At 36.9% G+C, this 27,499-nt stretch overlaps 1 protein-coding gene across 43 annotated transcripts in view, besides 1 other annotated feature; it reads right to left on the bottom strand.

Annotated features, from left to right (window-relative positions):
• PAM (peptidylglycine alpha-amidating monooxygenase) overlaps window positions 1-27,499 on the bottom strand; it is a 276,323-nt gene that overhangs the window by 245,370 nt on the left and 3,454 nt on the right. The gene's annotated exons all lie outside the window — the stretch shown is intronic.
• Window positions 23,498-23,647: an enhancer, noted in NCBI's record as "active region_22856". NCBI's record gives its function as "activates an Ori minimal core promoter by ATAC-STARR-seq in GM12878 lymphoblastoid cells {active_cell/tissue: GM12878}" and the evidence as "EXISTENCE:reporter gene assay evidence [ECO:0000049][PMID:35858748]".

Genomic DNA, 27,499 nt, shown 5'->3' with positions numbered 1-27,499 from the left:
CAATACTTTTATGGTTTCCCCCAACTTACACTTTCTAAACACATTTCTGCCTTGTTTCATGATGTCACTTAACTAACTCAGAAAGAAATTATATTTTCTTTGACCTCACTCTCTCCCTCAACCTCTTCAAGCCAATCAGTCACCATATTTCACCATTTCTGTTTTTGAAACATCTCCTGATCCCACCACCTTCCTTCCTTCCTATAACCACCACTCTAGTTCTTATTGCCATCTTCTTACCTCCACATGATACTTCTAAAGGTAACAGCTCTAACAGGTTGCCTTACCCTCTGGTTTGTCCCTTATTTATTCAGTCTCCCACGTATCTACCAAAGTTCTTTTGTAAAACACAAAAGTACAAAGCTTTTTAAGTTTCCAATTGTTTATAACAGAGGTTCTCAAACTTTAAAGGGCATGAGATTCATTTGAAAGGCTTGCTAAGATACAGATTGCTGGGGACTCCCCCCTCCCTTTTCTTATTAAGTGAAACTGGGAAGGGGCCCAGATATCTGCATTTCTTACTAGTTCACAGGTGGTGTTAATGCTGCTGGGCTAGCATCACTACTTTTTAGTGTCCCAATCAGTGCTGTGCATTAAAACTACTTGGGATACCTATGTAACAAACCTGCATGTTCTGCACATGAATCCCAGAACTTAAAGTATAAAAAAACAAAGAACAACAACAAAAAAGTCTATTTGGGGAAGTTTTATAAAATGACTTGCTGAATCCTAAACCAATTATATGCGGGCATTGCTTTTTTGTTGTTTTTAATCCTCCAGGTGATTCTGATTTCCTAAAGTATGGAGAATCACTGGTGTTTAGTAAAAAGTTCCAAATCCTTAACATGGCATTTAAGACCACTCACCTGGTGTTTATGCACTTGCTTTGCCTAAAAATTCCTAGTAAACGAATAACAACAATAATAAAGTTTGCCTATCTAAAAGCATGTATTCCCAAATGATTTTGTGTGAATTAAATGAGATAATATATAGTAAATGCCCGCCAGTGACTGACACAAAGTCATGTTTCACATAAATGTTAACATCAATTCAATTCAACAAATACGTTGAGTATATTTTTAATTCAATTCTACATATATGTATGACTCACCCTTAATATGGAAGAGGCTACATTCTCTGCTGGGAATATCTGGTTAGATAAGACAGAGATGGTACCTGTCCTCAGAAAGTGAACAGCACAAAAGTAATCAGAGTTTAAGGTAATGAATACCAAACGTTAGTGACTTTTGTAATAAGTACTGTACAAGGAGGAGGACAGGGTCATATGAGAGCTTACAACAGTGATACCTAAATTTTTCCAAGCTTACGGTGCCAAGGAAACCTGAAATCTAAGGTGTGTGGGTGCAAGGGGGGAAACTGAAAAGCGCATTCTAGCCCACCAAAACAGCTTGACCCAATAGCACATAGGCAGGAGCAGCTTAGGTGTGCTAGGGACAGAAAGGCTGGTATGATTGGAGCTTAGAGGTTACACAGGGAGAAGAGGAGCACCAGGTAAGAACAGAGAGAAAGATGGGGGTAGATCAGCCGGGCGCGGTGGCTCACGCCTGTAATCCCAGCACTTTGGGAGTCTGAGGCGGGCGGATCACAAGGTCAGGAGATCGAGAACATACTGGCTAACACGGTGAAACCCCATCTCTACTAAAAATGCAAAATATTAGCTGGGCGTGGTGGCGGGCGCCTTTAGTCCCAGCTACTTGGGAGGCTGAGGCAGAATGGCGTGAACCCTGGAGGCGGAGCTTGCAGTGAGCCGAGATTGCGCCACTGCACTCCAGCCTGGGTGACAGAGCGAGACTCCACCTCAAAAAAAAAAAGATGGGGGTAGATCATGAAGAATTTTGAACTTGATCCAAGAGGAGAGGGAAACCATTCAAGTGTTCTACAATTAGGTCTTCCTGAGGCTGTCACCCTCCAGCTGGTATGCTCCCTGACGGCAGGCGCTGGGTTCTATTCATCTTCCCCTTTTCCATTCTAGTTAAGTGGCCCTCATACTGCTGCATGCACATCCCAAGGGATACTCAAAGACATTCCAGTATGCAAACTGGCACAGAGGTAGTTTAAAGAGAATTAATTTCTAGATCTTTGGTCTTCATATATATTCGTTCCTAAAATTGTACTGAGACTGAATTTGGAATCTGCAAATTATTTTCTCCCACCCAGGCCTTCAGGCTTAGTTTTACTATGAACCTTGTCTTACGGTGGGAAAACTTCAGTGGGGACCAAATAAAGGGATGATTCCAAATACTGGTGTTGGTATTGAAAAAATCAATGATTCTAGGCAACACCTTCTATTGCAACTCAGATGAGTTTTAACCTTTGCTTTCACTGAAATTGAAGACAGATCTAAGCAATGGTCATTTAAACTAATTTATGGTGATAGAAAACTGAATCATATTTGTCCCAGGATATTCTGGACATAATCAAAATTATTTATTGTTTATTTGAAATTCAAATTTAACTGGGCATCTCTATTTTTTTTTTTTTTTTGCTAAATCTGGTAATACACCCACATTTTCATTTTGAACTGGGCCCCACAAACTGTGTAGCTGATCCTGGTCATGACAACAAATATAAACATTCATTTCATGAGAGAAATAACTGGGTAATTATATATGCCACCAGCTAAGATCATACTCAATGAAAATACCTCTTATTTGAGTTTTTTTTCTTTCCTGCCCTTGCAACCCCACACAGAAATACACCCTGACATACAATTTTCCTGCCAAGTTTCCATCTTCAAAGTGTAAAAGTGGTACTGCCAACTGGGAAATAAAAACTTGAAAATGAAAGGCCATTAGCATCTCAGATACACCAAAAATATGGGGAGTATAATAGAAGGAAAGAAAACTTTGAAAAGGCAGATTTTTCACAAAAGCAAAATTTCTCAAAAAAAAAAACTGATTGACAAAAAAGCCAACATGTTGCCTGTACCAGTTTCACCAGTAATAAATAAAATTACACACACACACACACACACACACACACACACACAGAGAGAGAGAGAGAGAGAGAGAAATGGAGAAAGGAAGGGAGCAAGTGCTCTGGGTACTTAACTGATTCTGACTTTTCCACTACCTGGAACTTAAGAACCAAATATTGACTTTGGGAATATCTCTAAATCCTATGACGTGATTTTCACTTTCAAATATTATGTTTGAAAGATTTGCATGTACTTCTCACTTCTCAATAAACATAGATGTTTTCCTTTCAAGTATCTTTCTAAAACAAGAGCCAAGTTTTTTCCTTCTCCTCTATAGCTGTCAATCATATTTATTATTTGTATCTATTTCAAACTCATTTTGCAATAAAGGATTTCAAAATCTTCTCTCCTTCCTCTGGGGGGAAAACAAAGGGTGAAACAAACAAGGAAGATGACTTTGTATAATCCTTTCAATTTAGATCTGGATTCGTTCCGGCTATGAACTTCATACCAGAGTTCTGCTTTAAGTGCTTCAGATATGGACAAGATGAAAGAAGCTCTTATATCCTATAAAGAGCAAATTCACCTTTGGTGTAAATGTTGGAGAAGTGTGAGGTATGATTTACTCTTTGAAGAAAACATAATGTGTTCTAAAGTGTTCAGGTTTGAAATTCTCCAAATGTTGAGCTCCTAGGAATATCCATTTCATGAGCAAGGATACAAAACCAATCCATCCTTATTCAGTTCAAAGTTTAAGGCTGGAGTAAGTAGTGGACAAGAACACGGATGTGGACTGCAGACTGGCTGTTTTCAGATCGCAGACCAGCCACTTACCCTTACGACCTTGGGCAAGCTTTTTTAAGTTCCTGATGCCTCATTTACATAAGGGAGATGATTATAACAGTATCTGTTTTCATAGGGTTGTTATAAGCATTAAAAACGTGTAGTTCTTAGAAGAGCACGGCTAATCCACAAGAAGCACCATGTAAATTGTTGTTATTACATTAGTATTAAAAATATTTCTGGGCTTAATCTATGAATGCAAGTCCCTGTATATAATAACTGACCTTCTCACTTATTTTTCCTGGCATGCATTCTAAAGATCAAGGTTTTAAAGAAAAATGTTATTTTGTCTTTTATTTCCTATCAAGACTTAGAGCTTGCAGAAAGCTAAAAATATTTTATAAATATAGCCTGGCTGAGCAGCACTGCAATGTGGTAAAAGGAACAGCACAGGGGACACCAAAGCCATGCATTAAAGTCCTGATTCACAACTAAACTGTGAACTGCACTTTAGCATTTAGGTTTTTACTCACTTGTAAAATGAGAAGGTACCCACTGAATTTCTATTACTTCTTACAAAACTAAAATTCTGATTTTGTAACCTTTAACATGAATGTCAAACTTGTCAGAAAGGAATTCAATGAACTCTTACTTGCCAAAGGACCTTCTTGGAATAGTCTTTCTTGAAATTCTAGTTCTCCTATGCTCTCATACTACAAAATTTATCACCCTATACTGTACATAATTTCAACCCTTCTAAAGCCAGGCAATAATATAATCCCAGTGTTAAATGACCCAAAAAAATGAGTAATTATTAAAAGCTTTTCTTACTGGCTTCACCTGGCCCAAAAATGTTAGCAATATCTACAAGTATTGTATGCAATGTTTGCATATTAATCAATACTGTATCATTCTCATGACAGATTTTTGGAGCTGATAGAGATCTCAGAGTAGTGCTTTTAAACCTGGGGCAACTTTACCCTCCAGGAGACATTTGGCAACATCTGGAGTCATTTTTGGTTATCACAACTTGAGGAGTACACTGACATCCAGGGGGTAGAAGCCAGAGATGCTGCTAAACAGCCTCCAATGCACAGGACAGCCCCCACAACAAAGAATTACCTGACCCAAAATATGAAAGGAGAAAGAAAGAAAGAGAGAGAGAGAGAGAAAGACAGAGAAAGAAAGAAAGAAAGAAAGAAAGAAAGAAAGAAAGAAAGAAAGAAAGAAAGAAAGAAAGAAAGAAAGAAAGAAAGAAAGAGAAAGAAAGAAAAAGGTGCTGAGGTTAAGAAACCTGCCTTAGAGCAATGATTTTTCATGGGATGCAGTACTGCCCCCTAGTGTGAGATTCAGAAATCTGGTTGTCAGGGCTGGTGTGGGGAGAGCTGCCAGCAAGAGTAGGCAGGAGTTCAGTCGGGAGGTACACCATGCAATGTGCACGACCTTTTTTTAATGAAGTACGGCACCACATCCTACTTAACTCTCAAATGTCCTACAAATCACATAGGTAATAAATGTCTTTATGATGAGCTAAGCTTACGACCCAAATCCATTTTACATAAAAACACAAGTATTTTTTACATGGTTTAAAACCCCTTATGTTTAGAAATGAAGTTACTACATGAATCAAGAAAGACAATATTTAGTTTTATTTGAAATTTTGCCAAGAATTGCTCATCATTTTGGAAAAATCACATCACCAACAACAATGCCAATGGTGGTACAGTAGTCTTCCCTGATCCTCGGGGCATATCTTCCAACACTCCCAGTAAATGCTTAAAACTGTGGATAGTGCTGAATCCTATATATGCTATGTTCTTTTAAAATTTGATAACCCAGATGGCTAACAGGTGAGGTGGGTAGCATATGTAATGTGGATACAGTGGACAAAGAAATAATTCACATCCTGGGTTGGATGGAGCAGGGGGCACACGTTTTCATCATGCTATTCAGAATGGTGTACAATTAAAAACTTATAAATTATTTGTTTCTGGAACTCTCCAAATTTTTGGACCATAGTTGACCAAGGGTAACTATATTAGGATTCCCTGGAGGGTCAGAACTATTAGGAGATATATACATATATATATGTGTGTATATATATATATATATATATATATATATATATGTATATGGGAGTTTATTAAGTATTAACTTACATGATCACAAGGTCCCACAATAGGCCGTCTGCAGGCGAGGAGCATTGAGAGCCAGTCCAAGTCTCAAAACTGAAGAACTTGGAGTCTGATGTTTGAGGGCAGGAAACATCCAGCATCCAGCATGGGAGAAAAATGTAGGCTGGGAGGTTAGGCCAGTCTCACCTCTTCACATTTTTCTGCCTGCTTTATATTCACTGGCCGCTGATTAGATTGTGCCCACCAGATTAAGGGTGGGTCTGCCTTCCCCAGCCCACTGACTCAAATGTTAATCTCCTTTGGCAACACCCTCACAGGAACAATACTTTGCATCCTTCAGTTCAATCAGGTTGACACACGTATTAACCATCACAGTAAATGAAACCACAGATAAGGGGGGGAATACTTTATCTGAGTGGTCAATATAACAAAGACATCAATCTGCATTTGTAGCTGTCACACATACTGTTATTCTACATATAGGATCAAGCTTTTGAACACTTCATTAGGTCTTATGGTGTAATCATAACTAAACATTTACATATTGAATGAAATACACATTATCTTATTATAAATTACTTATTCCTGTATTGCTCTTTTATATTAAAGTTAGGAATTATATATATACATATATATATATACACATATATATACACACACATATATATGCATATTTTTGAATTACACACTTAGGCAGGTTATATTACACATAAATTTCATTTCTTGGTAATAAAGAGGGCACTGCAAAACATATGCTATGAAAAAGGAGACACTGGATCCAATAGGGTTGAGAATCTTTGTATTATAAAGTACCTCACTCAATTCCTTCACTTTGCAGAAGACAAGTTAGAGGCACAGAGAGAAGCCCATCAGGTTTTCTGACGGCAAATCCAAGGAGTTTTCCACAACAGATAATTCTATTCTATTCTGATCTTATATTCATACTATTAGTAGATCTCTGAGAATTAAGGACTGCCTGATTCAAATGCACACAAAGTATTCCCTCCAAAAACACAAACGGGTAAACCTGACCTGTATAGCATCTACATATAAAATATTACCATGGGAACCACGACAACTACAAACTGAGAAAACTGTCATCACCAACCCACCAGAAAACTAAGCTTCGTTCATTTGGTTGCTTGTCTATGCAATCTTCCATGTAAAAATGAAGTGAATGAAAATAAAAATGACTCATTTCAGAGGTTTCTAATTTGGTAAGATTTAATCACCACAGCTCTCAAGTTTCCTCTGGAACAAAATGCCACAGACCAGGCTTTGGAAGGAAAACAATAATAATAATCTACTTGAGCAGTCCCATGATTCATTTTATCCATCATATGGGGTCTAGTTTTTATTTCATTCTAAATGCCAGGGAGACCAAATGCCAGTTTTGATTATTCTGAATCCTTAATATGATTTTTGGTAATGTTACAGTCTCCTTCCTGAAACCTTAATTTTTCCTCTTGTTTACTTGTCAGGTAAACATTAATTGAATGCTCCTTGTCTAAAATACTATATAGAATGCTCTGGGCAATTTTAAAGTAAAGACAAACTGTTTGCCTTTGACAATGTTACCATCTTATGGGGAAGATAGAACGAATATAAACATATAAATACAAGTATAGGGCAAAATCAAGGACCATGCAGAAGTGCAAATGCAAGTATTACAGGGGAACACAAATCAACTCTTCAAAAAAATACATGTGGGGAGGTGAGAGGAGAAAGGCAACTCACCCGCCTCCTTTTTAATTCTCTATGGTGCAGGCTTTCTCCTTTAATTTTTTTTCTGTCTAACAGGGGTCCAAGAGGTGCTTACTTGATCTCTAGCAGGCTAACCCCAAGACGGCACAATGCCATTCAGGTGTTTTCCACAATTCCGCCTGCAGAAGGAATGATCGCAGGTCTCTCAAGGGCAAACCGAAATTTGGCAGGTGACCTTTCATTTACAGCATCACAGAAGAAAAATACATAGAACCACCCCATGTTAATCGCTAATCTAGCAAACCAACTTTCTCTCTTTTTATAATCCGTAAAAACAGAAAACAATAGCTTAAATGACCTCTGCTTTGTAGGGAAAATTAAAAAGGGCTTAAGCCAATATGCTGTCTATTTCTGGGGGGAAATAAAATACCTCTACAGAGGAAAACAGGCCCGGGAATGAATGGTGACATTCCATGTTCCTCACATATTCAAGTATAAATCACTTACCTCTTAGCTGAAGGGCTGTTTTCTTATCGTGAATTTTACCTACAGATTCCTTCTGGGAAGAAAGGGCCTCGTTTGGGCTAATTTTTAAATTCTCTAGTAGAATCCCTCTCTCAGACAATTAGGTCTTTTTTTTCCAGAAACTCCCACTTAAATACTTGATTTTACTAGAAATTTTATTCATTTAACTAATATTTATAGAGCACCTGGTATGTCCCAGGAAACTGTTGTGAAAATCCCAACCTAAGGAGCTTCAATTCTAGTGGGAACAGATAATAGGGCTGGGGGAGTAAATTATATGTTAGATAATAACAAGGTTTATGGGGAAAAAGGAGAGCAGGGCAAAACAATCAAGTAGTAGAAGTGAATGTTTGCAATTTTAAACAGCATAGTCAAGGCAGATCTCAATGAGTAACAATGAGATTTGAACAGTCTTCAGTTCCTAAAAAAACTCCCCTTTCTCTCTAGATTATATCCATTCATAATGTTGCTTCACTTTTTCCATATTTATATTACCCATTTTTATTGCTACATGGTGATTTTGAAAAAGATCCATTTCAAGTAAGATAAAGTCCCATGTTTAGAAAACTGCCCTACAATACAAATATCCCTGAATTCCAGTATTAAGTAGTTAAGAATAAAAAGGTGAAATTATAAAACAATTAGAATAAAAAACTTTTCTGCATACTTGCAAAAACAAATCAGAAAATACAAGGAAGCAGGGGGGAAGAAGCACCCATTTACAAAATTTAAAAACAAAACCCCAAAAACACCACTAAATATGAAAAAGTAACCCTGATAAGAAATGTGTGACATACAAAAGGAAAACAAAATTTTTCTGAGAACTATAAATGCAGTTATAGTTACATAACAATGTGAAATACATATTGTTGGCCAGTATTGTAGTACTATAAAAAGGGTTCCAGAGATCTTCTGCAGAACAATGTGAAGAAACTTAATACTACTGACCTGTACATTTAAAAATGGTTAAGAGAGTAAATTTTATCTGTTTCTTTACCACAATTTTTTAAAGTTCTAAAAATAGACAAACCTGACAAAAACAACAATGGGGAAAGTGTTCCCTATTTAATAAATGGTTCTGGGAAAACTAGCTAGCCATATGCAGAAAATTGAAACTGGACCCCTTCCTCACACCTTATATAAAAATTAACTCAAGATGGATTAAAGACTTCAATGTAAAACCCAAAACTATAAAAACGCTAGAAGAAAATCTAGGCAATACCATTTAGAACATAGGCATGGGAAAAGATTTCATGACAAAAACATCAAAAGCAATTGCAACAAAAGCAAAAATTGACAAATGCAACCTAATTAAACTAAAGAGCTTCTGCAAAGCAAAAGAAACTATCCCAAGAGTGAAAAGATAACCTACGGAATGAGAGAAAAGCTTTCCAATCTATCCACTTGACAAAGACTTGATACCCAGAATCTACAAGGAACTTAAAGAAATTTACAAGAAAAAAACAACCCCATCAAAAAGTGGGCACAAGACTTGAACAGACACTTCTGAAAAGGAGATTTATGTGGCCAACAAACATATGAAAAAAAGCTCAACATCACTGATCATTAGAGAAATGCAAATCAAAACCACAATGAGATACCATCTCATGCCAGTCAGAATGGTGATTATTAAAAAGTCAAGAAACCACAGATGCTGGCAAAGCTGTGGAGAAATAGGAATGTTTTTACACTGTTAGTGGGAATGTAAATTAGTTCAACCATTGTGGAAGACAGTTTGGCAATTCCTCAAGGATGTATTACCAGAAATGCCATTTGTCCCAGCAATCCCATTACTGGGTATATACCCAAAGGAATAAAAATCATTCTATTATAAAGATACATGAACACATATGTTTATTGCAGCACTATTCACAATAGCAAAGACATGGAATCAACCCAAATGCCCATCAATGATACACTGAATAAAGAAAATGTGGTGCATATACACCATGAACTATCATGCAGCCATAAAAAGGAATGAGATCATGTCCTTTGCAGGGACATGGATGGAGCTGGAAGCCATTATCCTCAGCAAATAGCACAGGAACAGAAAAACAAACACCACATGTTCTCACTCATAAGTAGAAGCTGAACAATGAGAATGCATGGACACAGGGAGGGGAATAACACACACTGGGGCCTTTCGGGGTGTGGTGGGGAGGGAGAGCATCAGGATAAATAGCTAATGCATGTGGGGCTTAATACCTAGGTGATGGGTTGATAGGTGAAGCAAACCATCATGGCACACGTTTACCTATGTAACAAACCTGCACGTCCTGCACATGTATCCCAGAACTTAAAATTAAATTAAATTAAAAAAATAAAGTTCTAAAAATAGACAAAAATTCTTAAAGTAACACAAAATTCTTCATATTACACCAAAGTACCAACACTGCAGACCAAAGAATAGTGTCATATTGACAACCTTGCTTTAAAAAAAATTTTTTAGGCCATATTCCATTTAACCAAATTATCTAAAGTACAATAAAAGTGGTATTTTAAATCAATAGGGAAGGAATAATTATTCAATTAATGATGTTGAATCAATTTGTAAAATCCATGGAAAAAATACATAGATAATATATCATAACATATATAAAATTAAATTCCAGAACTAAGTAGTTAAGCATAAAATGTGAAATTACAATACAACTAGAATAAAACTATAGGTAACTATTATCTGACCTCACAGCAAGAATATTTTTATAAAAATAAAAACAATAGAGGGAAATGAAAGAAATAAAAAAGAGAAGACATTGAATTTATCTTCACTAACTGAAATAATTATCTTTAATAACTGACTTACACAAAAATTAAAACATTAAGTATGTTAAAAAATAATCCACCATTTATAAAACCAAAAGGCCAACAAAGAGACAAAATGAATTGCAAAATATCTGACAATGGGTTGATAACCTTTATAAATAGTTCGCATGTATCAATACGTAAAGAACAAATAACACATATGAATACAGAAGTCACAAAAGAATAAAAAAATTAAGATGTTCAATAAGCACCTGAAAAACTGTACCATCTCAATAGTAATTAAAGAAATAGCAATACTTATGTACAGACTTCTTACCCTGTATCATACATGGCTTTTACTGTTGTATGTCTGCTTTCTATCTGCTTTCTAATTCCATCCTCCCACAAGTGTTTTAGGTAGAAAGAAAATTTTCTGCTATTTTCCATATGAAAAAACTGACACAGAAAGGTCACATTCGAAGGCAAGGTAGTCTCACTTTGGAGTGGCTCTCTTAATCCCCACACTATACTGCTGCCATAAATAAAAATGAGGGAACATTTACACACTTTTGGTGGGAGTGTAAATTAGTTCAACCATTGTGGAAATCAGAAGCAGTATGGCAATTCCTCAATGAGCTAAAAGCAGAACTACCATTTGATCCAGCAATCCAGTTACTGGGTATATACTCAGACGAATATAAATCATTCTATCATAAAGACACATGCACATCAACGTTCACTGCAGCGCTATTCACAATAGCAAACAAATGGAATCAACCTAACTGTTCATCAATCAGACTGGATAAAGAAAATGTGGTGGGATACACCATGGAATACTATGTAGCCACAAAAAAGAATGAGATCATGTCTTTTGTAGGAACATGGGTGGAGCTGGAGGTTTTAACCTTACCAAACTAATGCAGGAACAGAAAACCAAATACCTTATGTTCTCACTTATAAGTGGGGGCTAAATGATAAGAACTATGAACATGAAGAATGAAACAACAGATACTGGGGTCTACTTGAGTGGGGAGGGAGAGGAAGAGAAAAGATAACTATTATGTACTGGGCTTAATACCTGGGTGACAAAAAGTCTGTACAACAAACCTCTGTGACACGAGTTTACCTATGTAACACACCTTCACATGTACCCCCAGAACCTAAAATAAAAGTTAATAAAAAGTAAATAAGTTAATTAACTAATGAATTAAAAATAAAAAGGAGAAACCTTTTTACTGTATTAAATGTTGTCTAGGGCTGGCCTCCATAACTAGGCCCACAAGCCAAATGCCCTGCTCACTGTTTCTGCACTGCCTGCAAGCTGAGAATGAATGTTTTTTTACATTTTTTAATTGTTGAAAACAAATTTTAAACAGAGCAATACTTTGTGACACATAAAAATCATATAAAATTTAATTTCAATGTCCCTAAATAAAATTTTATGTATTGTCTATTGTTGCTTTTGTGCTATAAGAAAAGAGTTGAGTAGTTGCAACAGAGATCACATGTGGCCTACAAAGCCTAAAATATTTACCACCTGGTCCTTTACAGGAAAAGTATGCTAACTCCTAATACAGCATATGGTAAACTGTGAACTCCTCTACGTTGTCACTGCACTGTAAATAGCAATCAAATACAATACAAAGCAACAACTATATATCTTCATACTTATGGACCCAGTACTTTTAGTTTATTACAACAAAATGTAAATTTCATAGGAATTTGTATGTAAAAACAGTGTAGCAACTGTGAACCCAGGAAGTCTGACTCTAGGCCTCCTAAGCTCAGGGCTGGGTCTAGCATGAGATCTGCACTTAAATATTGAGCCAATGTCTTGACTCCCAAGGAAGTAAAATAGTTTTCCAAGTTTGTCAAGTAACACCCATTAAAATTGGCATTCCTGAAGTCCTATTGCTCTGAACTGCCAAAACCTTGATATTATTACCACCAAGGTATATGACATATTATTTCAAAATACATTGTTTTGATAGGTTGAATCATATGAAACTCCAGATATTTGAAAATCTGTGATACATTAAAATCATGAAATTAAAAGGTAGACACAGTTTGAACATAAAATCCATCCTAACTATAGATGAACCCAAAATTGAAGTTTACTTTCAGCAAAACATCAACATCCGTCACATAAATTAATGTAATTTCTCAAATTGTATTTGTGTTATAGTTTTGTTGGCATTTAATTTGTAAATGTGTTTTATTTTATAGCTGTATAAGTGCTATAAACTAAGACATTACTCCAACTTTGAATATATTTAAGTAATACTACGACAAGTATAATTAAGTCAAACTGGAAGTGAGGGTATTTTCCTTTGAAAGGGGCCTGTATAGTTTACTTATTTGAGAACCATGTGCATATCTCTTGAATTGCACAAGCATCCTAGCACATAAGTTTGAGAAAACACAAAATGCAATCCCCTTTTGCTCTATTTCACAAGCTTGGTGTTGGTAGAGAACCACAGAGGGCAAGAATCAGGATGAGGAAGACAGCACAAAACAGGCCATTTTCAAACACCCTCACATGCAAAACAAAACAATTACCTTTATAAGCCTCAATTTTCTCCTCTGTAAAATAGGGATGAAGGTTTACACTGCAGGGTTATAGAAAACATTAGAGGTACTCTAGGTAAGGTTTACAACATACAATAATAATGATATCCAACATTTATTAAGCAGTTAACCCTGTGCCAAGCATTTTCTATGCATTTTATGTGCATTAATCTCAAAGAATAATTACAACCACCACACTGTATGAAGTGACACCAATACATCCCTGTTTCAAAAAGGATAAAGCTGAGGCACTCAGAGCGTTTTTCAGTAATTTGCCCAAGGTCACGCAGCTATTATAGTAAGAGGCAGAGTTAAGACTTGACCCAAATGTCTAATGCCAGAAGGAAGCTGGTTTTCTTCTCCACTCTACAAAATGACCTCAACAAATGGGAACAATTATTATGATTCTGATGTCTATAGTTTACTAGGACAAGAAAACATAAACATTTCTTCTTTTAAACCCAGCCACAGCCCTTCTAGCATATCACAGCCCCTCTAGGGGCAGGTAGGTGGCAGGGGGATCCAAGCCACTGGGGTGACAAACCATTACAAAACATTATTTTCAACTTGGCACTGGACTTCTCTCTATAAAATCTGGGGCATACAGAGCAACTTTATTTTTGAAAGGCTTCAAAATTCTAGCCAACAACAGTGTAAACATCCATTTCCTCCTCTCAAGAATTTGAAAGGTCACTCCTCCAGTTTCCTTCCTTTGTGATCCTGTAGTTGAAAATGCTAGACCAAGCCACCAGACATGAAGACAAAGTATTTAGGAGAAGAAGCCAGACACATCTTCACCAAGGTTGTTGTACAGATGAAAAACTGCTTGGTAAACATTGCAAAGTTGGTAGCTTGAATACCAGGAGGGCTGTGCTTTCAAAACTAAGACTACTTTCTTCCTATCTTCTATGTTTCCCCTGTTTAGAATGCAGCACTAACAATAAACTTCAATTTCATTCCCACTTGGCAAATGGGTTTGTTTTCACTTTGAAAAGACAACCAAAATGATTACTATAACAGAACTATAGAATGTTTAGCAATGGAAACCAAAGAGGTTATTAGGTGACATAGTTCCCAACCACCCCTAAACTCCATGCCCTGGAATCAAGTATATATTGTAATGAAAAATAAAGGTTTTAAATTTACAGTACTGACCTCTCTCAACTTTTCTGAAGAGAATCTAAAATGGCCAATAGGAGTTTATAACTCCCAAAATGCTTAACGAAAACTGGCTTTTTTGTTTTCTCTACATAGCCGCAATCTTCAAATGGTGCCACTGTACAAAATATTATATAACATGCTGTAACAGCAGGTTTAAAAACAAATATAAACCCCTTCAGGGATCAATACAGCTCTTATCACCTTAAAACAAACAAACGAAAAACCTAGAGACACAATCAAAGCTATTTTTCATGGACTACAGAGAGTATTTGGGGGAAATTATTAACTATTATTAAAACACAGTTCCAAACTCATTCTGTGATGCCAATATTACCCTGATACCACAAACAGACAAAGATACATTAAAAAAAGAAAACTATAGGCCAATATCCCTGATGAACATTGATACAAAAATCCTCAACAAAATAATAGCAAATAAAGATCATTCATCATGACCAAGTGGGATTTATTCCAGGGATGCACAGAAGATTTAACATACACAAATCAATCAATGTGATATATCATCTTAACAGAATGAAGGACAAAAACCATATGATCATCATGATTGATGCTGGAAAAGCATATGATAAAATTCAATGTACTTTCATGATAAAAACTCACAGAAAACTGGGTCTAGAAGGAACACACTTCAACATAATAAAAGCCATATGTGACAGACCCACAGCTAGTATCTTACTGGATGGGAAAAAACTGAAAGCCTTTCCTCTAAGATCTTTATGACAAGGAGGCCCACTGTCACTATTGTTATTCAACGCAGTACTGGAAGTCCTAACTAGAACAATCAGACAAGAGGCAGAAATAAAGGGCATCCAAATTGAAAAGAAAGAAGTCAAATTATCCTTGTTTGCAGATGATATGACCTTATACTTGGAAAAACCTAAAGACTCCACCAAAAAACTAATAGATCTAATAAACAAATTCAGTAAAGTTGCAGAATACAAATCAATATACAAAAGACCAACATACAAAAATCAGTAGCATTTCTATATACCAACAGCCAAACAATCTGAAGAAGAAATTTTTTAAAATCCTATTAAAAAAGCCACAAATAAAATTCACTACCTATGAATTAATCAAAGATGTAAAAGATCTCTATAATGAAAACTATAAAATATTGATGAAAGAAATTGAAGAGGACAGACACATACACAAAACGGAAAGATATCCTATGATCATGGATTGGAAGAATCAATATCGGTAAAATGTCCATACTACCCAAAGCAATCTACAGATTCAATGCAATCCCTATCAAAATACCAGTGAAATTCTCCATAGAAGTGAGAAAAAAAATCCTAAGATTTATATGTATTCACAAAAGACCCAGAATAGCCAAAGCTATCCTGAGCAAAAAGAACAAAACCAGAGGAATCACATTAACTGACTTCAAATTATACCACACAGCTCTAATAACCAAAGCAGCATGGTACTGGCATAAACACAGACACATAGACAGAGGGAACAGAACAGAGAACCCAAAAAGTGATTCAAGCATCTAAATGAACTCATTTTCAACAAAGTTGCCCAGAACAAACATTGGGGAAAGGACAGTCTCTTTAATAAATGGTGCTGGGAAAACTGGATACTCATATGGAAAAGAATGAAACTAGACCCGTATCTCTTACCATATACAAAAATCAAATCAAAATGGATTAAAGACTTAAATCTAAGACCTCAAACTATGAAACTTCTACAAGAAAACATTGGGAAAACACTCCAGGACATGGGTATGGGCAAAGATTTCTTGAGTAATACCCCATAAGCACAGGCCACCAAAGCAAGAATGGACAAATAGGACCACATCAAGTCAAAAAGCTTCTGCACAGCAAAGGAAACAATCAACAAAGTGAAGAGACAATCTGCAGAACGGGAGAAAATATTTGCACACTATCCATCTGACAAAGGATTAGTAACCAGAATACATAAGGAGCTCCAACAACTCTGCTGGAAAAAAAAATCTGATAATCCAGTTAAAAAATGGGCAAAAGATCTGAATAGACATTTCTCAAAAAAGACATACAAATGACAAATAGGTATATGAAAAGGCGCTCAACATCATTTATCATCAGAGAAATGCAAATAAAAACTACAATGAGATGTCATCTCACCCCAGTTAAAATGGCTTTTATCCAAAAGACATGTAGTAACAAACGCTGGTGAGGATGTGGAACAAAGGGAACCTTTGAACACTGTTGGTGGGAATATAAATTAGTTCAACCACTATGGAGAAGTTTGGAGGTTCCTCAAAAAAACTAGAGCTACCATAAGATTCAGTAATGTCCTTTCTTTGGGGTATATATGTCCCACTGCTAGGTATATACCCAAAAGAAATGAAATCAGCATATTGAAGAGATATCTGCACTCTGATATTTACTGTTCACAATGGCCAAGATTTGGAAACAACCTAAGTATCCATCAACAGATCAATGGACAGAGAAAATGTGTTACATATACAGAATGGAGTACTATTTAGCCATAAAAGAGAATGAGATTCTCTCATTTGCAACAACATGGATGTAATTGTAGGTCATTATGTTCAGTGAAATAAGCCAGGCACAGAAAGACAAACTTTGCATGTTCTCACTTATTTGTGAGAACTAAAAATACAAACAATTGAACTCATGGAGATAGTAGAATGACGGTTACCAGAGACCGGGAAGTGGAGAGGTTAGAGGGGGAGTTGGGATGGTTAATGGGCATAAAAAATGGAAAGGATAAGTAAGATCTAGTACGTGATAGCACAACAAGGTGACTGTAGTCAATGAGAATATAATTATACATTTTAAAATAACTAAAAATGTACAATTAGGTCGTAACACACAAAAAATGTGTGAGGTAATGGATACCCATTTTACTCTGATGTGATGATTACATATGGTATGCCTGTATCAAAATATCTCATATGCCCCATAAATATATATACCTACTAGTTATCCACAAAAATTAAAAATTAAAAAAATTTAGAAAAATTTTTAAAAGACATGGTTAGGTATGAATCAGAGTGGAAAATGTTAATGGTAATAACAGTAGTTAACACCATTATAGTAATTATAGAACTAGCAGTATTCTTTGTCACTGTCATCACAGTAGTAGACTGAGTGCTTGCTGTGCACTGGTCTCCACTCTAAGTGCATTACATCGATGAGCTTATTAATTCCCACACGACAAGCTTGCCAGAGTGACACAGGTCCCCAAGCCAGAGTCTGTGGATTCAAATCCTGGTCCCAGCACTTACAACCTATATGACCTTGGGCCAACTACTTTAACCTCTGTGAGCCTCATTTTCCAACATCTACTTGAGAGTACACCAAGAGGAAATTTATTTCTACAACAGCAGTGAAATCTAATATGTCTTCTTCCTTAATTTTTTCTACAAAAAACAATAAGCAGAAATAAACAATCTATGGCTGTTTTTCGTTTAGTGAAAATCTTGATGCAGCAATAATAATGAAGCAATTTAATGAAAGTACAGCAATTAAGAATCTAGCTATTTGGAATATAGGGGCTGTACTAAGAAAGTTCTTCTGGTTGACAACAAAACAGCAACTTTTCTAGATAAAGGTCAAGTATTCAATTTCTATTCACTAAATCTGGGTGAATTCCTACAATAGGCTTCTTAAATATGCTCTATGTGCCACTCTGTTAGGAAACTTAAAATGGTGAAACTTTTAAACTGGCAAGCCAGGTACATAAGGAAGCAAAACAGCAGAGTCAGATACCTTCCTCAACATCAAGCAAAGGCTGTCCTAACACCAGAATAAGAGGCCAGATGAAGATTAAAGCATGCTCATCTGATAAAATGGGACATCTTAATGCCAAATCTGGATAAAACGCCACAAAAGGTGCACTTATATATTCTCCAACATCAACCGTTCAAAATGTGTCCAACTCTTTTCTGCACTATCAAAAAACAGCAATGCAAAATAAAAACAAAATGAAAACTGATGAGAAAAAATGTATATAATATTAAAGAAAGTTTTAATTCTAAGAGAAAAGTAAATTTTTATAACCAAAGGCTAGGGCATTTAATAAGATAAAAACCATAAACCCTTCTGGTTGTTTAACAGAGGGAGGTCAATCTGTTTCATGAAACCACATGTGGCCTTCCAGAAAGTCAAAGGGTCTGCAGGAACTAGATTTTACAGACAAAGAAAAGAAAAGAAGAAAGAAAGAACAGAAAGTCAAAGGGGAGCATGATGGCAAAAAAAAAAAAAAAAAAAAAAAAAAAAAAATCCACAACTGAAGCAATAAAATAAATCACACAAAAAGTCCACATAAAAATTATACGAATAAATATATGAATTGCATATTTTTTCACTAATGTCAGTATAAAAACTGAATGTACTATTAAAATTTGGAGGAAAAATTAATGAGTACTTTTGCTCCTTCTCTTGGCTGGCCTGCTGTACTCTAATTTAGACCAAGTTAAAATTAACAGGAATTGTTGAATTCTAAAATAAGTTATGTGAATGTTCAGAATTTCACATGCAACTTTTATCAAGTATTTCATTTATTTTTCCTTATATCAGGTGTCCCCAGCCCCCTGGCCACAAACTGATACTGGCCTTGGTCTGTTGGAAACAGGGTTGCACAGCAAAGAGGTGAGCAGTGGGCAAGCAAGCCAAGCTTCATCTGTATTTACAGCCACTCCCCATCGCTCACATTATCACCTGAGCTCCACCTCCTGTCAGATCAGCTGCGGCATTAGAGTCTCATAGGAGCAGGAATCCTAACGTCAACTGCACATGAGAGGGATCTAGGTTGCAAGCTCCTTATGAGAATCTAATGCCTGATGATGTGTCACTGTCTCCCATCACCCCCAGATGGGACAGTCAAGATGCAGGAAAGCAAGCTAGGGTTCCCACTGATTCTACATTATGGTGAGTTGTATAATTATTTCATTATATATTACAATGGAATAATAATAGCAATAAAGTGCATAATAAATGTAATGCACTTGAATCACCCCAAAACCTTCCTCCACCCCAGTCCATGGAAAAACTGTCTTCCATGAAACCGGTCCTGGTGCCAAAAAGGTTAGGGGCTGCTGCCTTGTATCATATGGGAAACTAGCTCTACATCTAATTTACCATTTAGTAACACAGAACTAATTCACCACATTTGTGATTACCCTTTCTTGTATGTGTATTGTATCATGCCGATATGGGTTGAGTTGTGTCCCCATAAAAAAAAAAGATGTTCAATTCTTAACTTCCAGTACCTGTGAATGTGACGAATTGGAAATAGGGTCTTTGCAGATGATCTAGTTAAGATGAGGTCATTAGGGTAGACCATAATCCAATATTACTGTGTCCTTATAAAAAGGGGAAACTTGGACACAGAGACAGACACACAAAGAGGAAGACAGGAAAGATGATGTGAAGACACAAGGAACCATGTATAGGCCAAGGAACATCTGAGGCTATCAGAACAGGTTCTCTCTCACAGCCTTCTGAAAGAACCAACCCTGCCAATATACTGATGTTGGACTTTTAGCCTTAGAACTCTGAGACAATACATTTCTGTGGTTTAAGCCACCCGGTTTGTGGTACTTTGTTACAGCAGCCCCAGGAAACTAATATGCAGGTTGTAGATGAAGTCGGCCCAAGCTTGCATGGTGTGGCTGGAAGCTTAAGAACCCTCACAGAGTTCCTGCAGCACACACTTACATGACTCTACACTATGTGAAATGGTGTGAAGAACCTGCAATTTAGATGAGGATATGGACTACACCCACCTAAAATATTAAAAATAATGTCGTACATTTGCTTAAAACACTTTGTACATGTTTTATTTCACTTTTTCTTCACAACTACACTGAATGAAAGAAGGGAGGCTTGGTATCTTCATCTTATTGACAAGAAACCTGAACGTTGACTGTTTTGGCCAATGTCACATATATACATGGCAGGGCAACTACTGGTGCCAAATCTTTTCTAGGAAAAATGAATACAATCATGAATATTTTAACTTGGAACAATGGTGGCACTTTAAAAGTAGAGCTTCTTCAAGTGACTCAAGGAAGGACAAAAATAACATCACATAGACTGAGTAGGCTGAGGGGTTCTGTGATCCAGGTAAGCTGGAATAAATCAGAAGAAACTGGTGGAAAAAATAACTCTTGAAGGAAGTGATGGAAATAGGCCAATAGAAAGAAAAGAGGCTTCATGATGAATAAAAACAATGCCAAAAAAGAAAAGAATAAATTATGTGGAAAGCCTAAACAAACATTAAAGGGAAGCCTTCAACTGAATAAGAAGTACAGAAAGGGTTGCAACAGCATGTGGGGTTGAAGTAAGATTGGGGACTTTTAGCTGGGCTGATGAAGGGATTGTCATTGACAAGACAGACAAGCAGTTACCACTGACAGTTTTTGAGCACGGTTTGCTGTTGTGGTAAAGGAAGCTGTTCTAGTAGCTGTGTTAAAATCAGTTTAGTGGCGGAGCAACCTGGGATTGTAGTTGATATAGTAAGGGACTTTGAAAAACTGATCAGGACTGAAGATAATGACCCCATATAGATGCTTTAAGTTTTAGCTACCAGCAAGACATTCTTAACACTTTTCTTCCCTCACGCCCCGTATTTCTGGACATACTGGCCTTCTTGGTATTCCTTGGTGGTGGAGGTATAGAGGCAGAGTTCCTTTGTTCCAGCCTCAATATCTTATACCTGTTACCGCTGCTTCGTAGAGAATCTTTGCACAGTTAGTTCCCCGACTTCATCTGGGTTTTTGCTCAAATGCTACCTCTTCAAGAGGTTTTTGTTGACCATCCTGTGTAAGAGGACCCTCTGCTATCATTCTCCATTCCCTTATTTGCCTAATTTTTCTTTACAGGACTTATTAGTACCTGAAATTATATATATATTTATTATATATATGTTTTTAATATATATGTTACACTTAATGATTATCTGTCACTCCCATTAATAAGTAAGCTCCATGAGTCCAAGGACATTTTATGTACTGTTCAGAGTTTTATTCCTAGAGCCTGGCACAGAGAGTAGCATAAAGTAGGGAGTCGCTAAATATTTTTTGAATAAATAAAAGAAAACCCCAACTTATTCCCGAGTTCAATTAATGGTATTCCCCCCAAAACACTTTCGATCTATCTTCACTGCCACTTCCCAGTATCCACCACCAGACTGGTACACACTGTCATGTCAAATTAAATTAATGCAAGAGCTACCCAATTTCACCCCACTGACATGCACACCCCAATCCAACTCACGCCCCCACAGATGATCTTACCAAAACACAAATCACATCAAGTCCCCAGCTCCGACCTAAAACACTCTCCTATGTTCTTATGAGGAAAACCAAATTCTTCATGTGGCCAGCAAGACCCTTTGTGGACTGGCCGGCCACCAGCCAAGGGGTCCAGCCTCACAGTAGCTCTTCTCTCCCCTTGATCTTCCTCAGTTACTTGATTTCATTCTGTTCCCTTCTGTAAAGGGCCTCTGCACAAATGGCAGTTCTCTCTGCTTTCTGGAACACTTTTCTTCCTACCCTATCTCACATTCTCCTACTCATACTTCAGATATCAATCAAGTGTCACTTCCTCAGGTTCCTATTATATAAGCCCACAAAATTCTACTGTTCTATTCAGAGCATTTACCTCTGCCTGTAATTATACATAATTATTTGTTGTTGTTGTTGTTGTTGCTGTCGTGTGTAAATTTTATTAGGGATTGTCTTCCTCCTATACTCTTCACTCCATGATAATGCAGACCAGGAATTTTTTGCTCATTATTGGATCTCTGGGGTCAAGAACAGTGCTAGGTACATGGCTGACACTGAATGAATATTTGTTGAATAAGTGAAACCCAAGAGCTAGAGGTCACTGTCAAATACATAGATAAAAAATTTTTCCACTAATACTGAGGTAAAGCTGGAGGCAAAGATATTAGTGAAAATCTATAATAGGACTTAGAGCTATTATTAAAACAGAAGGAGAGTGGAGGAACCCAGGACAATGCAAGCTGAAACAGTGCTAACTATCTACTGGATAATCATGGGACCAAGAGAGTCTGTTTAATTAGGGAACTAGACAAGAACTAGTTCAAATAATTTACTGACACCAGGTAGTTATGACTTAGGTAGTGACAGTAACTAGGTGAAAGGTTACATTTACATATCCTATTAACAGCTCCTTGACTCATCATCAGTCTGCTCTGGAAACATTTATCTGTGCAGAGAAACCATTAAAACTTTCCTCTCCTTGGCATTTTCTATTATAAAAATTCTGCAAAAAGTCCTTAGTTCCCTGGAAAATGTTTTAAAGGCATTTCACTCTGGTCGATTAGGCATACAGTAATAGCTAAGTGAGGCAGGGGCCACAGAGGAAATGGCATATAATAGAAAGAACCACTTCGCTCCTGATTAAAGTTACTCATGTGCAGCTTGAGAAAATGTACACACCAGAAAGCTCTGAGCACTACAGGGTATCACGGGTTAAAGGACAAGGCCTAATTTTTTTTTAACCCTCATTGTTACCGCTTTATTCCCCAAACACTAGAACCAATATAATTCTAAATTCTCCCCAGGGAAAGAAGGAGTTTATTAGCTTACTTTTATTTCCTTATTTCAGGCTTCTTTTAAAATAAGATGTAGCATTGATGAGCATGAAAAAAAAAATCTAATATTGCTTCCACTCATTGAAACCCATCAGTGACTCATGCAATAAACAGCAAGTCTCCTGGTTTTGTTTCTGAAGAGGGCACACCAACAGTTTCAACAGCATACTCCAGTTTTACTGGAAACAGTTCTCAAAAGATGACTTACCACACCCTGCCTGAGAAAGGACAGCATGAAACTGGGGAAAATTCTGATCTTCAGAAATACAACAGACAATGAGTATTTCCAATTTCATGCTGTTTATATGAAGAGAACAGAGGCACAAGGCAAGACAAGCCTGAAGCACAGGTAAGAACTGTGGCAAATAAAAGAGAAAGGAAAAATGAAAGCACACTGAACAAGTGACTTTACCAGATTCAGCAGGGCTGAGGAAGGGGAATTTGGGGGAGATAACCAGAGTTTTCTACCCCTACAAAAATAAGATTTCAAAACTCACAATTAAAAGAAAAAGACATTTAACAAAGTAACGTTTTTAAACTAAATGGGGAAAAATCTCACTAGTTAACAAATGCCTGCTTTATGCAAGGGACTCTACCTTTATACAAACCCTAATAGCATATGACCTCGGCTCTCCCAGAATTCACTGAATTTGAAAGGAATGTCTATGAAAATAAGGATTTGTTGATGTAATTAGTAATGTAAATAACAGGTATACATATAACCTACAAAAAGTTTTCTTTAAACACTATAGAAGCCTCCAGTTACATGCAACAATTATCATGCTATTCAAAATTAACTAATATCTTCATAAAAGTTCCCTTCAAAAGAGTTCTAAAAGATAACATAAGTGCTTAAAAATAATAAATTCTATCTTTAAAATATTCTAAACTTCAGACTTTTAAAAGCTTGAATTAATCTTTATATAAGTAAAATGTTACTGCACTACAAATGAGTACTATTTTAAAACAAACTTACTTTGGCATAAATAAGTGAAATTCTCAAGATATGAAATTTATAAGGCATTTTTAGCCACGGAAAAAGCAGGTAGTAGTATGATTCTTCCATAAGGGCCTCAGACTTTACTTTTATTTATTTCTACCACTGTTTTTGTTTTGCTTATGTTGTACATGCAGCAGTGAACTGTACACTCAATGCAGGTAAAAACCGTCCTTTGTTACTGCAACTGTTGGCTGGACCTATTATTCTTTGTGCATTTGCTTCCCAGTACTTGTGGCCCACACTCTCTACAAAATGAGCTTCTCCTATCTGATAGGGAAGCAGATCTGCTGCTTTGATTGTTTCCTTAATTCTGCGGTGTCATTTAAAGTTGTACTTTAAAGTATTATGTTTTATATTTTTTGAGTCCAGTTCCCTCCTTTCTTGAAGCTACCCTCTTAAACTCCCTGAACAAGAGCCATCTGGAAATCTTGTTCCTGTCCTCCATCCTTTCTGTGAGACCACACCAGCACAGCTGGGTTGCAGCAGGCACTGCCGAGGTGCTGCTGGACTGGCTATGCTCCAGACCCTCACTGTTAACATGCAATTCTTGTCCTTTTGTGTTAAGCATGGTTAGTAGACAAAGCTCAAGACAGTGTTCAGCAGTTCAATCTCCTTTGGGCACAGATCCTAATCTCACAATCACACATGATTTGAGTAACGCTGTTTATATGTAGAACTTCTGTTGCTACATGGTCCCAGTCTGCCCAGTCTCCAAATTGACAGTGTAGATACTTTTCCACTTTTCTTTTCCCCAAGAGGCCTGAACTAAGTACTGTATAGGTTATCCAAACAGAAATATTTTCTTTGTATTAAAGGGACTCCTGTGAATCTAACATGAAGTCAAACATCATTTTTATGCTGTCGAAATCAACAACTTCTACTGTCTCTACTCACTCACCAACACAAACAAAATTTGAAGCTTTAAACCAGCAATGTCCAATAAAACTATCTGCAATGATGGAAATTTTCTATATCTTCTCTGCCCAGTACAGTATCCACTAGCCTTGTATGGCTATTAAGCATTTGAAATGTGGCTACTGCAACTGAGGAATGGATTTTTAAAATCGTATTCCATTTTTAATTAATTTATACTTAAATTTAAACAGACAATGTGGCTAGTGGCTATCAATAATTAAGGGTCTGAGATTTTTATCCTACTTGCAGGCTAACGAAATCAGGGTGCCACAGTTTCATGGGGATGCTGGAAGAAGACAGAAAATTCTAGGGTGAGAAACAAAGGACTATACTACTCACAAAAATATCAGTAGCAGTAGTATCAGCATAGTTGTGCCAATGTCCTGAAACTCAGTTCCCCCCATGTGATGTGAAGCAGATACTTGATGATCTGCATTGTCAGAGGGGAACCCTGAGCTTAGGGTACTTGAATCTTTTAAACTGGACAGTAAAACCTACCTGCCCTTTGCTTCAGAGGGAAAGAATACCTCTATCTTCCAAAACTATCTACCATACAAATGTCTTTAAGAGAGTCTGGGATGAAAGCAGTAAATGCCTTTGCTCACAAGACATGCAAAAGTCTGAGTGACTAATGGAGAATTGAATCCCAACATAGGGGTATCATACATATCTCTGAAATCCACTCATCTCCCACCTGCTTGAATACCTTGCTTTTAGCCACACTTAATTTCTTCCTATGACCACGGTAAGCTTCCAAATGGTTATCTTTCTTCCACCACTGCCTCCTCCCACTCATTCTCTATACAGTAGCTAGACTGCATCTTGTAACACAAATCTCATCTTGTTTCAGTCTTCAATGTCACCCACTGTCCTTAGAATTAGGCCACCCCTCCTTAGCAAGTTCCACAAAGCCAGTGCTTCCCTTGCTTGTCCGTTTAAGGTTTATGCCTTTAGCCACATTAAACTCCTCTCAGTTTCTTACATGTAGAGGTCATAAAGTGGTGGCCCTAGGTTGAATTCCAACTACAGATTTGTCTGGTTTGGCCCACAGAATAGTTTTTAAAACATTTGGGTTAGTTCATATTTGGGAGATTTCATATTTATAAAATATGAATTTTAAGCTCCTCTTTAGAAATCAAGGCATCTGGCAACACTTGGCCTGCATCCCAACCTGACAATACTTGGCTGAAATGAGTATCTACTTTTCCCTTTAGACAGCTTGGATTCTCCAGATTGCCACGCCTCTCCCTCCTGCTCTTACCTATGTATTGTTTAACATTTTCTGCCTGACTTCCATTCTAAGGCATCATGCTCCCTTTGGTCTCTTTCAATCTTCCCACCTCTTCAGCTGCTAACTACCACTCATGCTTCAGGTCTTCATGTATTCATGCTGCTAGGAAGTTTTCCTTCACCACCACCAACCCAATTAGGATGAGATGATGCACTGTGTGACATTCACCTACCCAGGACCCTGCTATCCTATCTTCTGAGGTTCTCTTCACTACCCTTATCATGGCATGAATCATATGGCATTATAATTTTTTAAAAATTTTCTTTATAAATTTATAATTCTCTGTTTACAGATCTGCATCCCTCTCTAGACCTTTCAGTCATAAGAAAGTGACTATAACTGTCTTGTATACCATTGTATGTCAGTGCCTAGGAAAAAGCCAAACGTTTAGTGTGGGCTGAATAAACACTTGTTGCATAAATGAATGAAAAAAGTTAGCTGAGGAATGGCTATTTCAAAATATTGGGGAAGAGTGTATTTATATTTTTATATATGTATTCATTTTTAAAATGTGGACCACTGAAATTCCATTCCTTCCCCCCTCCCCCTACCCTGGAGAAACTAAAATAACTACTTGAGTCATAGAGCAATAGCTGTATACTGGCAATGTGCTAAGAACCACACATGGATTAGCTCATTTAATGCTGACAACAGTCCTTTCAGGTTAGTATTTCATTATTCCCATTTTGGAGAGGTAAACATTCAACCCCAGATAAAATGAAGGCCTTATTCTCCACAACACAGTAAATTGTAGGGATACATGATGACTGAAATTTCTGCCAGGATACCTGAGAGCACATGACACCAACAGCAGCTTTATTCACAGCCCATCTTTTGAGCTATTTGTATGTGGTTTTAATAATTAGCTTTCGCATTCAAATGGTAAAGAAAGTTCTTATACACACAAGAAGCATTTATGGCTATTATACCAGATGACACGGCTTCCAGGGCAGTAAGAAGGATCTTTAATCTCATTTCACAAATAGAAAAACAAAGGTATGGAACAATAAAGCCAAGTGTAAAGTTAACATTATGTCCCTCAGGCTGCCCCTCAGCCTGCCATGCCTTAATGTGAGAGTCCAATCAAAGCCTCAAAGCCCAGTATGTAAAGCCTAATAAATTCTGCACATAGCAGATAGATA

The sequence above is a fragment of the Homo sapiens genome, chromosome 5, assembly GCF_000001405.40.
Source record: "Homo sapiens chromosome 5, GRCh38.p14 Primary Assembly".
Lineage (NCBI taxonomy): Eukaryota > Metazoa > Chordata > Mammalia > Primates > Hominidae > Homo > Homo sapiens.
Note: the sequence above shows the minus strand (reverse complement) of the source record. Positions and strands in the feature narration are given on the sequence as shown.